The sequence below is a fragment of the Homo sapiens genome, chromosome 16, assembly GCF_000001405.40.
Source record: "Homo sapiens chromosome 16, GRCh38.p14 Primary Assembly".
Lineage (NCBI taxonomy): Eukaryota > Metazoa > Chordata > Mammalia > Primates > Hominidae > Homo > Homo sapiens.
This window is the reverse complement of record NC_000016.10, coordinates 64,938,180-64,956,046: the sequence shown is the minus strand read 5'-3', so window position 1 is coordinate 64,956,046 and position 17,867 is coordinate 64,938,180. Positions and strand designations below refer to the sequence as shown.

The 17,867-nt window shown below is 39.1% G+C and overlaps 1 protein-coding gene across 4 annotated transcripts in view; it reads left to right on the top strand.

The window, feature by feature from the left end:
- CDH11 (cadherin 11) overlaps window positions 1–12,294 on the top strand; it is a 179,992-nt gene extending 167,698 nt beyond the window's left edge. For 3 of the 4 annotated variants that reach the window (XM_047433486.1, NM_001330576.2, NM_001797.4), the window contains 2 exons: window positions 5,029–5,280; window positions 7,948–12,294. In XM_047433486.1, the coding sequence (XP_047289442.1) occupies window positions 5,029–5,280; window positions 7,948–8,444 (749 nt within the window). In that variant the 3' untranslated portion in view covers window positions 8,445–12,294. Of the gene's footprint in view, window positions 1–5,028; window positions 5,281–7,259; window positions 7,439–7,947 lie in introns of all 4 variants that reach the window. The other variant, NM_001308392.2, reaches the window with a different exon arrangement.

Here is a 17,867-nt window from a genome sequence, read left to right as displayed (position 1 = left end):
TCTTTTCTGTTTCATCTTAGTAACCTGGAGCCAATCTGACACTTTCCTGGAAATATGTCCTCACTGAACCTCTTTTTTTCTTGGGTTATCCATAAACCTTGGTAATGCATATGTCCAATGCAAGGGGACCCACTCAAAGATGGATTGAAAGCTAATATGTAGTCAAATATAGGGTGAAAAATTGGTGTCTAGTAAAGGGGTTTCGTTATTGTTTTTAGTTTGTTTATATTTCTATTTGTGTGTCCAGATTTGTTTTTCATGAAGTTCCTGACCATAGTAGCTATTTTTTTTCCTTCTTTTTAGAGACAGGGTCTCATTCTGTCAGCCATGGTGTAGTGCAGTGGTACTATTATAGCTCACTGTAGCCTTGAACTCCTGGGCTCAAGCAATCCTCTGGTGTCAGTCTCCTAAGGAGATGGGACTATAGTTGCTGGTCACCCCACCTGGATAATTGTTTAACTTTTTATTTTTTTAGAGACAAGGTCTCGCTATGTTGCCCAGGCTGGTCTAGAACTCCTGGCTTTAAACAATTCTCCCACCTCAGCCTCCCAAAGTGTCGAGATTACAGGTGTGAACCACCATACCAACCCCTAGTGGATTTTTTTTTTCTTTTTGATTCAGAGTCTCATTCTGTCTCCCAGGTTGGAGTGCAGTGGCACAATCTCGGCTCACTGCAACTTCCACCTCCCAGGTTCTTTTGTCTCAGCCTCCTGAATAACTGGAATTATAGGCATGCGCCACCACACCCAGCTAATTTGTTTTGTTTCTTTTTGTTGTTGTTGTTTTTATTTTTGTTTTTTTGAGACAGAGTCTTGCTCTGTCACCCAGGCTGGAGTACAGTAGCGTGATCTCGGCTCACTGCAAGCTCTGCCTCCCGGGTTCATGCCATTCTCCTGCCTCAGCCTCCCGAGTAGCTGGGATTACAGGCACCCACCACCAAGCCCAGCTAATTTTTTGTATTTTTAGTAGAGACGGTGTTTCACCGCATTAGCCAGTATGGTCTTGATCTCCTGACCTCGTGATCCGCCTGCCTCGGCCTCCCAAAGTGCTGGGATTACAGGCGTAAGCCACTGTGCCTGGCCTTTTTTTTTTTTTTTTATTTTTTAGTAGAGAGAGGGTTTTACTATTTTGGCCAGGCTGGTCTTGAACTCCTGGCCTCAAGTCATCTGCCCACCTGGTTCTCCCAAGTGCTGGGATTACAGGCATGAGCCACCATGCCAGGCCATAGTGACTTATTTTTGATCAGTGATCAGAGTGGATCACAAGAAGGACAGGCCGTGATACTGAAATGCCACTCAGAAATGCCACTTCTGAGAGAAGGCTCGCACTCCCATTGGTCCTGGAACAACCTGGATCTAAAGGGCGAATATTTTATTGACTCAAGCAACACAGACCACCTAAATGCCAAACCAGGCTGCTAGACACGTCTCCTACCCACTGTGTTCACCTTTACCAGCTCACCAGCCCTGGAGGATCTCAGTAATGTGTGTTAAGTTTTCTGGTAGAAGGATCCCCTGAGCCTTCTGGAAGCACAGCACAGAGGATAAACACTGATTTCTATCATGTTATTTAGTTGCTTAACAACCCCATGAGGCATGCTTGCTATCAATCAGTCTCCTAATTTTAAAGATGAACAAATGGGGCTCTAGATGGGAAAAGTTACCCAATTGAAAGCAGATAATTAGTATTCACCCAGGAAGAAAGCCTTAGTCCATTTCTTTCCCACTTCTTGAACTGCTTAAAATCTATATGTGAAGCATGTTTTAATAGCAGAGGTTTGAAAAGTTCTTGCGATCCTACTGATCTATCACTCAGAGATTTTAAATGGTTTGGTCAGCTGGGTGCTTTGATGAGCTTTTACGTAGTGGTTTCTGTGTGTCGGAGAGGACTCACTTGTTCAGAATATGAAACATCTTGAATTCATGTGCCAATGTCATGCCCAGATCCATGTTTTCCATTGGTGTTTGAGTTTCAATTACCTTCCTCCATAACCCAACCTGCTGTGATCTGGAAGTGCAGGTCTGCCTGGATGGCACATTGAAGAATAGATTTTAAATTATGACTTCCACAAGTTTATAAAAATAAAAATATTCTGTTCCCATACCCTCCAGCCATAACACTATGGGTAACAGAGTAGGACCAAATGTGTAAACCAAGCAAGTCATCTGCTGGGCATGTCACCCATATCAAAGAGTTTTCTTTGACCTAGAAATTCAATTAAATTTTTAACATTCATTTTTATCCATGATGACATGGACATTTCAGATCATTAAAATGGAGTAGATATTGTAACTTTCAATTTGTGAGAGTCTAATTTAACTATGAAAACATATACAAGAAGAGAAAATATATTTTGAATTAATTTATTATAGATATGTAATTTTTATTGTAATTGCTAAGTATGGAACAATGGTGTGTAAAGCCTAGTCAGGTGACTGCATTTTCAGTTACTATTTTACTTGACTAGCTTACTTTTATTTTTTTCATCCTATTTCATAGTATATGCAATGTTTTTATAATTTTCCCCAGTGATAAGAGAAATGTATGCCAATCATACAAAATTCAGAAAATACAGAATTGAGGGCTGGCTGTTCTGTGTTGTTTTGGATGAAATGTTGGCAGTGAAGGACAGAGAATTGGTCATATCAGGTCTACTAGAGCCAGAAAGTACAAAACCTCACCATCTGCAATATTCAGAATTTCTGCCCATCCCTAAATAAGACTGAATCTGCCATATATATATATATGTGTGTGTATATACATACATATATATATATCTATATATAGATATAGATATCTAACGGAAAATAAATTGTAGTAGGCCTTCCATATTCATGGGTTCCACATTTGTGAATTCAGCCAACCAAACATCAAATATATTTGGGGAGAAAAACAGAAAACAACAAAAAATTGTAATACAACAATGCAAAATAATACAAAATTTGAAACTACAGTATCATAACTATTTACATGGCTGTTACATGGTATTGGGTATTATAAGTAATTTAGAGATCATTTAACACATATGGGAGAATGTGTGTAGGTTATATGCAAAGACTGTGCCATTGTATATAAGGACTTTGAACATCCTTGGATTTTGGTATTCAGGGGAGGGTCCTATAACCAATTCCCGGCAGATACCAAGGGAAGATTATACATTTTCTTTAACCTAAAATATATTAAATAATTTTGAAATTCTGAGATTTTTTTTCCCTACTACAGGAGCTAATTCAAAATCCTGTCAACCTATTTAAAGCCTACCAGCTATTGGGCCATGATGCTAGTCATAATATTCATATTGCTATAAACTCTGATTCTTAACCCACAAACAGAGGCAGACCATACCAGAAGTTCAGTGTGAGTGTGTGTGTGTATGTGTGTGTGTATGTGTGTATGCATGTATGTGTAATTTGATGGAACATATTAAAAATTTCTACTGTTTTATAATACCAATGCTTTCCCACTAGAAAATAAATCTTAGAAAATTAGTTGAGGCTGGTAGAGAAAACATGATGAGGAAATATTTTGGGGGCAGAGGCTACAAAAGATTGGGAAATACAGAAAAGCCAACATCTGGAATTTTGGTTAAATCCTTCCCAGAACACAGTTATGCCATTTGTTCAACAAATATTTATTGAATGTCTGCTGTGTTTCTGGCCTTGGAGAGACTGAGATGAATCAGACAAAAATCCCCTATTCTCAAGAAGTTCACAGTCCCACAGAGGTCAAAGTGGTTATGTCAACAAATCATGACAGAAGAGTAGGTTATGTATTTCTATACAAATATACAGTGTGGTGGGTCACACAAGAGATGATGGGAGAGGTCTTGGATGGTCTCCCTGAAGAGATGACTTTTGAATTATATTTTGAGGCCTGAGAAGTACAACTGTTATGATAAAAGGAACAGTTATTTTGAGCAAGACAGTAGTGGATAAAAAGACCAGGCACACAGAAGAGTGTGGCATTCTTGGGGGACAGAACTGAATTCTTGATGTCAGGCTGAACTGGTCCATGTGGAAAAAGTAGGAGGTGAGCCTGGGAAGCAAGGTGAAATCTAGGTTAGGGAAATAATATCTGATCCTCCACCATGCTGGCAGAGGTGCGCTGTGTTTTGTTATGTGAGCAACAAACTTCAAATCATTCTAAGCAGGAGGAGTGACATGTTTAATTGGGTGGCTGATGGTGTTGGGGTTTTAAAGAAACCATAAATCTCCTGCAAGGGTTATAAAATAGTTCCTCTCTTTAAAGCATGTATATTTACATGACTAATGAGTGGATTCATAGTTTGCATAAGGTTTGAAGGTGGACTTGGAATTTCTTTTTTAAAAATATATACAAACAAAAATTGGCTAAACCCTTGTCATAAAGTAGGAAGTCTGCACATAGGAAAAAACTTTTTCTCACACACACTTGAATATTTAATTATTAATATTTCGTGTGCTAACATAGAGTAGATTGCTGAAGCTAATAGCCCAGCAGAAAATGGTGTGACAGGCTTGCCTTTAAAGGGAATTTCCTTCAGTGGCAAGCCTGCCGCACCATTTTCGGTGAGAAAACGTAGGGTGTGAGCCTGGAAAGCAAAGTGAAGTCTAGGTTAGGGAAATAATATCTGATCGTCCACTATGCAGGCAGAAGTGCGCTGGGTCATGTGAGCAACAAACTTCAAATCATTCTAAGCAGGAGGAATGACATGTTTAACCGGGTGGCTGAGGGTGTTGGGGGAAATCCCTTCACTGGCAAGCCGGCCACATCATTTTCTGCTTTGCTCTTGCCCATTCTTCAATGGAAATTCCCTACCAAATCCAAAGAGCCTGTTTCTGAGATTTATTCCAAAATGCAGATAGCTTGTTTCGTGATCATGCCAAACGGCTGTGGCTTCCGCAGATACTTAGATGAAAGAACAAGTAAGAACGATTCTGGCGGTTAACCTTTATGATAAGAGAGTGCCCTCAAATCTGCCGAGCAGAGAGCCGCTGTGATTCCAATGGTCTTGACTGGGCGCACGGCCTGTCTCCCCTCTTTCTGCAGATAACACAGCAGGCGTGTACGCCCGGCGTGGAGGGTTCAGTCGGCAGAAGCAGGACTTGTACCTTCTGCCCATAGTGATCAGCGATGGCGGCATCCCGCCCATGAGTAGCACCAACACCCTCACCATCAAAGTCTGCGGGTGCGACGTGAACGGGGCACTGCTCTCCTGCAACGCAGAGGCCTACATTCTGAACGCCGGCCTGAGCACAGGCGCCCTGATCGCCATCCTCGCCTGCATCGTCATTCTCCTGGGTAAGGGCGCTTCCTGGTCCCCTGCAGGAAGGGCCAGGCAACCGGATGCCCCTCCTTGAAACACATGCTTCTCAAATACAGGCTGGTAACCAGGACCCTGTTATGACTGTCGACACAGTTCAAGAAAAGAAGTGGGGTACGGGGGCGGGGTGGGCGTTGTGGGGGCGAGGTGGGGGATGTCTGCCTCTTGCATTTGATGGAATATTGCAGGGAGCAGACAACTGAGTTCCAGCAGAGAACAGGGAAGGTCATGATGAGCATTTTGCCGGGCCATCACAGGGCTGTATAGCAGGAGCCACTAGGGGGCTTCAGGGACATCAGAGAAGGTTTGGCATAAGAGGAATTTGGGCAGAAACATGGTGTATTAGCAATGGTTTTGTCCCACAAGAGAAAGAATAAGGCTTAGGGACATTAGGCCCATAAGAAGGAGCAAAACACAGCATAGGAAGGACTCGGGAACTGGAAGAAGGAAGAAGCAGGACTCTAACCCCTCCACTAATTATCATATATAACATCTGTTCTAACACCTCAGCTCATGGGTACCCCTTGGAAGCTTTTCCTGCACCTACCCCTGCTTAGGTGCTCTTCTTCTGCACTTCTGTCTTACCTGTGGTTTATTCTGTAGAAAAGCCATGTGCTGGTACTCAGAACATATGCCATTGCTGGGCCTCAGGAAGATCATTTTATCCCAAAGTCTCAGAACTAGTGACTGACCAAATCAGGATTCAAACCTATGCATGTCTGACACCAAACCTACACTTTTGCCATGATGCTTGGTCCTACCTCGAATGAATTCATGGAGCTTTACTCCATAGGAAAAAGCCAGTGAATTCAATTCAGCAAATAGTTACTGGGTATTCTCTGGGCAACGGGCCCTATGTTAGGTCCTGGGGGATAAAGAGAAGAAGTCTATGAGATCTCTGTGCTCGACAGGTTCACAGAATGTCAAGGAAAGTATGCATGAAGAGGCACACGGTGGGTGCTGTAATAGGGACATGAACACAAGATGGTTGGAGGACAGAGTAGAAAGCACCTGACATGGGCCAGGCGCAGTAGCTCACGCCTGTAATCCCAGCACTTTGGGAGGCGGAGGCAGGCTGATCACCTGAAGTTGGGAGTTCAAGACCAGCCTGAACAACATGGAGAAACCCCGTCTCTACTAAAAATACAAAATTATTCAGGTGTGTTGGTGCATGCCTGTAATCCCAGCTACTTGGGAGGCTGAGGCAGGAGAATCGCTTGAACCCAGGAGGCAAAGGTTGCGGTGAGCCAAGATGGCGCCGTTGCACTTCAGCCTGGGCAACAAGAGCAAAACTCTGTCTCAAAAAAAAAAAAAAAAAAGAAAAAAAAAAGGCACCTAACATTGCCTGGGAAGGTCAAAGAAATCTTCCTGGAGGATGTGACATACAGGTTGGCTGCTGAGAGTTGTCCAGCTGAGGACAGAGGCTTGGATAAATGAATATTTCAAACAGAGGAAGTAAAATACAAAAGCCCTAAAAAGTTAATAGAAGTGGAAACAGATGTGTAAACCATGTGATAAATATTATAATAAGGATAAGAACGGGGCCAGGCTGGTGCATGAAAAAGGTGCCAGTAGTCCTGTCTGGTGTCAGGATGGCAGGCCAGGAAGTGTATCCATGATGAAAGAAAAAAAGAGTCCGCTAAGCAGAGAAAGTGAAAAGGAGTGGTCTGTGTGAGTGAAAGTGCCCACAAGAAAAAAGCACAGAGCTTTGGGAGCCACACGAAGTCCAGGGCAAGTACAATCTCTCATTCCTTCTTCTCAGAGCAGTAGTGGAGCCAGAGGGGCGCTCAGCTGGAGTGCAAGATTCAGCCACAAACATTTTCTTCAGCCTTGCTGGGTGTATGGGAGAGCCTTCTAATGGAATATTGTAGAAGCCTCTTGGGGAAAAGAGGGAATCAATGAAGAATTAAACTGTGCCTGAACTTTCCTTATAAATGACTCTGATCACCCCTCCTAGGTTGCCCAAGCTTAATGGAACCCCCCTCTCCCAGGGAAGACATGAGATTGCTTTATCTGGGCTTCCAGCTGATGCTATTTTCCTATGTTAAAGTAAACAGAAGATTTTGTCTTCTGGGGGTCTTTATAAAACTTCCTTTCCTCTATGTGGTGGCTACAGAGAGTCCAACCACACTTACGGTAAGACTTCCCATTAAGTTAGTATAGGACCAATACTCTTTCTCAGACATTGGCAGAAGCTAGCCATCACCCCCTATAAGATGGTAGGCCCTAAGGGCTCTGCATGTCCTCATTTTTAAACCTTGGAAAAACAGCTACCTTCCTTTGCAAAGAGAAATTGGCATTAGCCACTTCTAAGAGACTACAGACCAACATATTTAGAATCTTCCTAGTTCTTAGGAAGATGACTCCTAAATGGTGTCTGGATTCATTTGTTAAAAGTTCAAAATTGTCCCAACCTGCCAAGTTGTTGGGTGTAATGTTTTCATGGCAGCATTTGTAGAGGAAGAGCCAGGCAGGGGTCAATTTTACACATCCTTAGGGATTCCAGGCAAAGCTCTCATTTCCTATACTGTTTCCTGTTCTGAGCATTTATACCTCATGGTTTATGGTAATCAGAGTTCCTCTGGCAGAAGAACCCAGGAATACTGGACTTAACGAATGCTTACCTTCTTTTTCTTTCCCTCCAGTCATTGTAGTATTGTTTGTGACCCTGAGAAGGCAAAAGAAAGAACCACTCATTGTCTTTGAGGAAGAAGATGTCCGTGAGAACATCATTACTTATGATGATGAAGGGGGTGGGGAAGAAGACACAGAAGCCTTTGATATTGCCACCCTCCAGAATCCTGATGGTATCAATGGATTTATCCCCCGCAAAGACATCAAACCTGAGTATCAGTACATGCCTAGACCTGGGCTCCGGCCAGCGCCCAACAGCGTGGATGTCGATGACTTCATCAACACGAGAATACAGGAGGCAGACAATGACCCCACGGCTCCTCCTTATGACTCCATTCAAATCTACGGTTATGAAGGCAGGGGCTCAGTGGCCGGGTCCCTGAGCTCCCTAGAGTCGGCCACCACAGATTCAGACTTGGACTATGATTATCTACAGAACTGGGGACCTCGTTTTAAGAAACTAGCAGATTTGTATGGTTCCAAAGACACTTTTGATGACGATTCTTAACAATAACGATACAAATTTGGCCTTAAGAACTGTGTCTGGCGTTCTCAAGAATCTAGAAGATGTGTAAACAGGTATTTTTTTAAATCAAGGAAAGGCTCATTTAAAACAGGCAAAGTTTTACAGAGAGGATACATTTAATAAAACTGCGAGGACATCAAAGTGGTAAATACTGTGAAATACCTTTTCTCACAAAAAGGCAAATATTGAAGTTGTTTATCAACTTCGCTAGAAAAAAAAAACACTTGGCATACAAAATATTTAAGTGAAGGAGAAGTCTAACGCTGAACTGACAATGAAGGGAAATTGTTTATGTGTTATGAACATCCAAGTCTTTCTTCTTTTTTAAGTTGTCAAAGAAGCTTCCACAAAATTAGAAAGGACAACAGTTCTGAGCTGTAATTTCGCCTTAAACTCTGGACACTCTATATGTAGTGCATTTTTAAACTTGAAATATATAATATTCAGCCAGCTTAAACCCATACAATGTATGTACAATACAATGTACAATTATGTCTCTTGAGCATCAATCTTGTTACTGCTGATTCTTGTAAATCTTTTTGCTTCTACTTTCATCTTAAACTAATACGTGCCAGATATAACTGTCTTGTTTCAGTGAGAGACGCCCTATTTCTATGTCATTTTTAATGTATCTATTTGTACAATTTTAAAGTTCTTATTTTAGTATACGTATAAATATCAGTATTCTGACATGTAAGAAAATGTTACGGCATCACACTTATATTTTATGAACATTGTACTGTTGCTTTAATATGAGCTTCAATATAAGAAGCAATCTTTGAAATAAAAAAAGATTTTTTTTTAATTCTGGGTTTGATTCTTAACATTGAAACAAACGTTAAGTATTTCTAATGATCCATTTATATTTCTAATTTAATTGTGATCTTTTAATAACCCTATTTATGATCTGTTGTTGTCTGTCTGCTGCTTTTATTGTTTATTTAAAATCAAATATGTTTTACAAATGTTTTTTCAGACAAGATTCTGTAACATCATGTAAAGCTTTTTTGTACATTCTTGGTGTTAACCTCCTGGCTTCTCTTCACACACATCTTCTAAAAAAGAAGGATGTGAAAGAACTAGGTCAGTCTATGACTTTGCAATATGTGTTATATAGTATGCATTTATCTTGTATATCAGTAATTTGATGGTTATGAGAGATGAATCCATGAGGGAATGGAGCTATCAGAACTCTAATGTTCCAGGTATACATTCTATGCCCCACACTGAGCACTGGGGAACTGGGGGACTAGAGTCAAAAATATAAATTTGCCCAGACTCTAATGTTATTCTATTTTTTCTTCTGTTGAACTTACCAGGCTATTGTAAGACTCTTGATAGTTGAAACTGCTTATTTTTCCTCCTGTAATTTTAACTAATTGTAAAATGATGTGGCATTTTATGTTTTAATGAGAATGGGCGATTCATTTAAAAAAGCTTTGTTTAGAATATGCTTGGGGCCGTAAGCTCAGAATGAGGGCAGGGACCATTTTGGATTCTGAGAGTCGATGCCATTTGGTCCAGGAGTGTGTCTACAGTCCCCTGCATTCCAGCTAGTTTCTTGGGGATTGAAACTTATGTGAAGGGCATTTCACCTGTTCAGTTGGGCCAAAGGTCAAAACGTAGCAATACTTGGGGAAAGACCACATAAAGTCACACTGCAAGTGCTTTCCCTCTTTCCCCCTACACACAGGGCACGTGCTTTTTCTTGGATTGCAGACAATTTTTACAGTTTTTTTCTGACTTTATTGTGAAAGTTTGTTTCAAGCATTTCTTGATATCATGTTATGTACTATTTTTATGATTTAGTCAACATGCATACAAAGAAATGTTTTTTATGAAGTGCTCACTTCCATTTTACTTTGCATTGAAATCAAATTGGGCTGAACACTTCAATGGAATACATTTTGTGGACAATGTCACTTTAGAATCTTTCATCTCAGTGAAGGATTACACATTCTCAATACTTCCATAATTGCAGGTTGTGTTCATTTTTTTATATAGTTTTTGTAATCCAAAGAATATTTTGCTAGATTTGCACAGATCTCCAATTGAATTTGCAATGAAGAAATAACTCAAAAGGAATATGAATAGCATTTAAATAAGTATACAGCTGTAAGTAACCCTGTCACCATGGATGATCCTTTTCTCTAGGAATGTATTTGGATTAGAGATGACAACTACATTTTCGCATTTTTATGTTGAAGTCTTTTTTAAAAAGGCTGTTTACTTTTCAGTAGTTAAGAATACTTGTTTTTCTTTTTCTTTTTTTTTTTTTTTTTTACCTTTTATTTTTTCGTTAAGCCTCTATTGTTTGTAGAACACTCTTAGAAACTTGGAAATAAAATGTCTTTCCCAACTAGTGGAGTCCTTTTTCATTTGGAGCACATTGCCTTAAAAGAAGTCTTAATTTAAACGGTCCTTCCTTATTCTAAAGTAATCACTGTTTTATACCATCTATGCAGCTAAAAGAAGGAACATGCTTCTGTTCTTTTCCTCAAGTAATGGTTATTGTTTCTAGTCATCATTCATTCATTGATTCATTCATTAATTCATCAAAATCTTATTTTATAAACCCTGTTCCACTTACTGGAGGATTCAGAATGAATCTTACTACCTTTTCTGACATCTTTTGATAATTCAGCCCTGTACCAAAGTATCCACCTTGTTGTCTTATAATCACCTATTTACCTATTTGCCCTCCTAGAAAATGCAAGAAGATATTTTCTCTCCTTCCAAATTGAAGGAAGAACATAAAAGATATAACAGGAAGGAGATGGTGAGATATAGAGTGTGAGCGGAAATTAGGCCAGCTGTGGCAATTCTGGACAGATCTTGGGTTTAGCTAAGTTATTTCTTTTAGGCCTGGGTTTCTGGGGGTGACAGGGAAGATAAAAGAGTAGTTTATTTGCACCTCTTGGAGAATTGCTTAAAAATATAGAGATCATGGCTCTGTATGTCAGGTGGAACCAGGTCAGGAGTATTTGAAACTGCTCCTGGGTCATTGTGACATATCCTTCACATCTTTTTGAGAAACTTTATAAGACAATGGGGGTGAATGGGGGCTGGGCAGTTGGAGTCTCTGAGCAGAAGAGGGGCAAAATTTATTTGGCAGGCAGTGTGGAGGACAGATTAGGAGCATATAAACCCAGAGGTGTGCCCCAGGAGGGCTTTTGCAAAGGTCAATATGAGATAGAATGAGGGCCTGAAATAATTCAGTAATTTGGAGATGGAGAAGAGGAAAGACTTCTCTGCTCTTGCACTGCCATCAGCCTGGTCTGGGCCATGGTCATCTCTGACCCGGAAGACTGACCCCACCTCTTGGCTCACCCTCTGCCTCCCAACCTCCTCTTCACAAAGAAGCCAGAGGGATACTTTTAACACACAACCCAGATCACATGACTTCGTAACTTAAACCTCTTCACTGGCTTCCCAAAGACTTAAAATGAATTCTGATGCCTTTATTTTATTGCTTTACATGAACAGGGCCCTGCGAACCTCTCCAGTGTCATTCCACTCCATCCTCCTTTCAGTGCACGATGCTCCAGCCACACTGGCCATCTTTCGGTTCCTGATACAAAAAAAAACACGTTCCTTTTCCATGGAAAGCAGGTCACCCTTGTTATTTTGTATCGATGACAACTCTTTAAACTTATTTTGCTTTTTGGCTTTATGTATGTGTGTGGGTGGGTGGGACTGACTGCCCCACTAGAATGTAAGCTCCATGAGGGCAGGGAATCTTGCTTTCTTGTTTACCATTGTATACTCAGTTCTTTACACAGTGCCTGAAACATAACAGGTACACAATAAATATCTATTGAATGAAAGCAAATATACTGATGAGGCAGATTTATCAGGATTTGATGAGTGATTAGAGGTTGCCAGTGTGATTTTAAGCATCCTTATCTGAAAAATTGTGTCAACTGTGATCTTAGTACCTAGGATTGGTAAATTGAAAGGAAGTGGGTTTGGGGAAAATAAATTGAATTGAGTTTGGGTTGGGATTGTAAATGGGAGGTGTTTGTGTGACAACTGGATGGACTTTCAAGTAAGTCATCAGAAGTATGGATTTTCAGTTCGCTCATTGTAGAAGTAGGGCCTGGACATGGAGTGTAAGAGTCATCAAATGTGAGCTGAAGCCTTAGGAGTGACAGCATTTTTCTAATTGGGTTTTCACTGTTCTCTTTCAAATTTAAAAGGGTATTTTAATGGTAAAATCCCTCTGGTATGAAGAGTAAGGCTGAGTTTAGTTTTATTAATAAGGGTAATTAGTAAGCATAAACCTTATCCTTGTGTGTCAAATGCTTTGAAAAATAGGAAGGGGTTATTAATTCAATCATTCTTCTCTTTAATTAGCCTTTCTTGAGCTTATACTGTATGGAGGTCATGTACTAAACATGTGTAACACATTCTGTTTCTATGAGAAGACAAAGTATATGCTACAATCCCTTCATTACACTGAAGAAAATTGTGGACCAGAGAGGTTAAGTGTCTCTCCAAAGCTACACAGGAAATGATGTCAAAGCTCGATGGGAGAAAATACCATTTCTCCCACTTTGGGTCAGGAGATGTACCCTTTAAACTTAGGATAAAGAAGCCAACAGCAAGGACTGTCCCTCACAATCAATAACTCAGCTAAGCCATTGGCAGTGAGAACTTGGAAGGAGATGGAAACCCCCAGCCTCCAGGTGTTCAGGTTATTACTTTGAGCAACCATTCACCACATAGTTTGACGAGAGGATGTAATCATATCTCTGAATGCTTAGACTCTTCCAAGTCCAAAATGGCACAAGGATCAGAATTGTAAAATTTTCTGCTGGGGTTTACATCCTTCTACACTATGAATTTTGGAAATCAAATATATAAGAAACCAATTAGGCATTTTGCAGCTATTTTTATTATGTTTCACAGAGAAGTTTGATATTTCACCTTATTCATGGGATTAAAAATATAGGGCAGCAAGGGGGAGTCTTGACCTCACTGAACTTCATTTTCCACAAGTGTACAATGGAAGCAATAATTCCTACATTGCCAGCAGTGGTGAAGAATAGATGAATTCACATTTCTGCAGCCACTAACCATTCCTAGGACAGGAAAAACACTAGAAGGTAGCAATTATATTGTTACTGTTTGTATTATTTTCTCAATTCCAGGCTTCAGAATAATAGAAGGGAAGAATTTACCACCTTATGCCTTCTGTTTTATTTGACTTGTTTCTTCAGAAATCAATCTACTCTGATTTTCCTCTCTCCTGAGCCAACAGTAGAGCATAGATGTCTTCACACACTATAGTTTAGGAAGAGAACTGATTGACAATTTACCTACTCCAAATATTAAAAATAAAGATTAATTATCTGTCTAGTGAATTTATTGAATTTACTTATATTTGACTAAAATATGCAGCATAATATTGGCAAAGCAACAGGTAAAATAGCTTTTAATGTTTCTTTTTCAGAAGACAAGTTTACATAATTATGAGTTTTATATATAATTGGATAGAAGATATTATGAAATAATATTTGAAATTGGGATGAGTGTGTCAAGACCTGAACAAACTTGTACTCTTCCAATATAAGGAATTTCATGTTTGATATATTTTTGCTAATTTGTTCAAGCAATGGTGCTTCTTCTTTTTTTCAGACACATCTCTTCTCTGAAAATATTGATGTTTGAAGGCATATAATTTCATTAGAATATTCCTTTTTATATAACAATTAGAATGAGCTTAGTTTAATCACTATTTTTAAATCAGTAAGAACTCAGGAAATTGGAAATTATTTTATGCTATGATAATTTTCTTCCTCCTTCTCCCTTTCCGCCAACATTAAGTAAGATATTAAAGAAATAGTAGTGTTTAGAAATGTAATTTTCAAATGACTTACTCTTAAGAATTAGTAAAGACATTGTCCATTTGATACTGCTTACCTAAAAACTAGTCCAGGGTCTCTAGAATTACAAATGGGCTTTTCCCAAAGACACCAATCTCTTCCCTTTTTTAACTTTAGTTTCCCAGCCAAAAATAGGTACTGAGTAAATGTTAGGGGCAAGACAACAGCGTCAGATGAGTAAAGGGAAATTCACGTCCTAGGCATTACAGCATTCTAAACTACTAGAAATCTATAAGTGAGAATTCACCTGGGCACCTTCCCTCCCTCCACCTCCCAATGTTTTGATAAGACCATGATAATGCATCGGATTTAGATTTCACATGATTAGATATCCTACCTTGATAGTCACCCAGCACACCCTCAGATCAAATCGGGGCCCAATGCACTAAGCAAATCATGAAAGTGGCATCAGATAATCTGTATGACTTGCTAGCATTGGAAAGGTCATCTTCTTTGTGTGTCTCATTTTCTTTATCCATATGGTGGACATATGTAATCTCTGATTGGAATGCTAGAAATTATTGACCTAGAATAGGAAAATAAAAGTAAATATATAACTAGCTGCACAAATGAATGAGTTTATTGTTGCTGTTTTTGCTGTTACTTATACTTTTCCTACTGTAAACTGGATCCGCAAATGACTTAGAAGAGAGCCTCAGATCCAAAAGTGAAATTAAGGTACCTTTCGGCTTCTCCTTTGAAGACTTTTATCTAGTAGCCCCAGGATAGGCCTTAAACTACATCTAAAATATAATAATATCTAAAAGATAGATATTGCATCTTTGTTGTGTAAGGACTGTGACCCAAGGGGTTCTCCCAGCCTAACCTAGGGGATTTCACTACATTGTCATCAGGAGCTTCGAAACAGTCATTCCTCAAAGTTCTAGACTATGAGGAACCTTGATCCCTGTAGTCTAGTATTTTCCAAGTTTGAAATACAAATTTCTGCATCTCTGGTGGTTAGAAGAGGTAGTTTTAAGTGATGTTAAATAAGAATACATTTTAAAAGGACAAAGGCATTCTCTTTGAAATACTAAGAGTGTGATGTGCGCAGAGTTGTCCCTCTGTTTGAAATTCCTTCCCTCTTAGCTGGCTGTTTCTCTGACCATCCAATTTGAAGCAGCCCCCTAATCCCTGTCTGCCATATTGCTCTTCTATTATTATTTGCCAAGTATGTATTTTTTTGTTTGTGATTTCTTCTCTTTTCCATGTTTTATTTTCAATCTATTTTTCTATTTAGAATGAGGGCCATTAGGAGCAAAGACATTTCTTTTTACAAGGTACCCCAGAGCCTAGTACAGAGCCTGATATGTTGTAGATGCTTGGTAAATAATTGTGGATCCCCAAGAGGTATTGGCAAAATTTTTATTATTCATTCTGATGAGATAAGACCCAGTTTGGGATTAAATGTCTAACCACTATAAAATCCCCTTTTTTGAAATGGAAATAAGATCTCAAGCTTAAAGTCTTCAGCAGCAAATGTGTCTAGTAAGAATTTAATAAAGTTATTTTCTTTCCATGTATTTATTTGTACAGTTATCTTCCATGCCATGAGAAAGTTTGCATAACAATAATACAATGTTTCCTCTTAAATACATTTGTTTAGATACACATGAGTTATTTACAGATACACACATAGGAAATAAAAGTATGTCTGTTACTTGAATATGCTGGTGTGGGAAAGAAGGGTGATATTGAACTCAGAACTGCCCTGGGAACTCAGCCAAAACCGATGGTGTCTACCCAACTAATTTATGAATGAGAGTACTGAAGTTCTAGAAGGTAAACTAACCTGCTTCCAGAGGCAGAGGACCAAGAAGAGAATCTGGAAAGAAAAGATGGATCTCCTGCTGGTGAGCTGTCAGTTTCAAAGCCTGAACTGTAAAGGGAGTTACCAGAAATTGAGTCAGCTCTTCATTTTATTATATTTTTTTGAATTGAGAGACCATAAATTGTATATGTTAGCGGGGTGTACATAGTGATATTTACATATATGTAATATATAGTGATCTGATCAGGGTAATTAACATATTCATCATGTCAAACGTTTTTCAATTCTTTGTGTTGGGAGCATTCAATATTCTCTCTCTAGCCACTGGAAACTATATAAAATATTATTGTTAACTATGGTCACCCTACAGTGGCATAGAACATTAGAATTTTTAAAATTTTTTAAATTTTTGGTTTTTTTATTTTTAACTTTTATTTTAAGTTCAGGGGTACATGTGCAGCTTTGTTATATAGGTAAACTTATGTCACGGGGATTTATTGTACAGATTGTCACCCAGATATTAGCCTAGTCCCCACTAGTTATTTTTCCTGATCCTCTCCCTCCTCCCACCCCCCATGCTCTGATGCTCTGACAGGTTCCAGTGTCTGTTGTTCCCCTCTGTGGGTCCATGGAACACTAGAACTATTTAACAGGCGCTTTATTCTGCCCGGATACAGGCGTGCCTTTTCCCTCATATGTACCTTTGCTCTAGTTAAATGTCACCTCCTCAGAAAGGCCTTTGTTGACCACCTTCAATAACACCCTTTCTTCCTGAGTCCCTTTCTAACCCCTTGTCTCATTTATTTTATTTCAATGCACTTATCTCTACCTGATATCATAATTGAGACCTGTGTATTTGTTTATCATATGCACGCCCTCCATATTATAACAAAACATTCATGAGGACAGTGAGGCTTTCTGTGGTTGACTTTTATACACCCAGAACCTAGAACAGTGCCTGCAGAATTTTAGGGTCCAATAAACAATTTTTGATCGAACAAGTGAATAGCAATGAGTGTTATCAACATTAGACTTTTTAATTTATGGATTTGAGTGAGAATTTTCATTTAGTTTTTTCTTTCAGTCCTATTCATTAATAGGGATGATATTGTGAACCAAATGAAGATCACAGAGGCTATAGTATTATTACGTTCTCTCCCAGAACACAAACATTTCAGATTCAGGTGTGTGATTGATCGGCAGCTGCTGACCATGTAATAGGATTTTCCCTCTTGCTTTTCCAGCCTGCAAACAGCTAGAGGACCATAAAAAACAAGGTATCCTCTGTGCTCAAGGAGAGGCTCTAGATTAACAGAATACAGACCTTAGGTGAGTTGCATGAAGAACTGTTCCAGACATTTTGTTTAGGGCTTGGGTGTTTAAATGAAAGAAACCTTCAAACTCCCACTCTAATAATCCACAGGATGTGGACAGCTTTGCCATGAGGTGAAGTTTTAGTTAATATAATATATTTTTGTTTTAACTATAATGGATTATTCAACTCAGATTAGTTGGTAGAAAGGGAACTGAAATAGTCCTAGTCATTCTGCTGCTCTTAAACACCTGCTCTTTTCTGTAATCCTTGTAACATTCACATGATTCCCACATTAAAAGATGAAGTAGACAATTTATTAATTTTCTATGCTATTCAAAAATTGGCTCCATTTATTATTAGTTGTGATTTACCTTTTAATTGTTTGCTATTATGGATAAACTTAAAGAATATATTCAAAATGCAAGTGACTC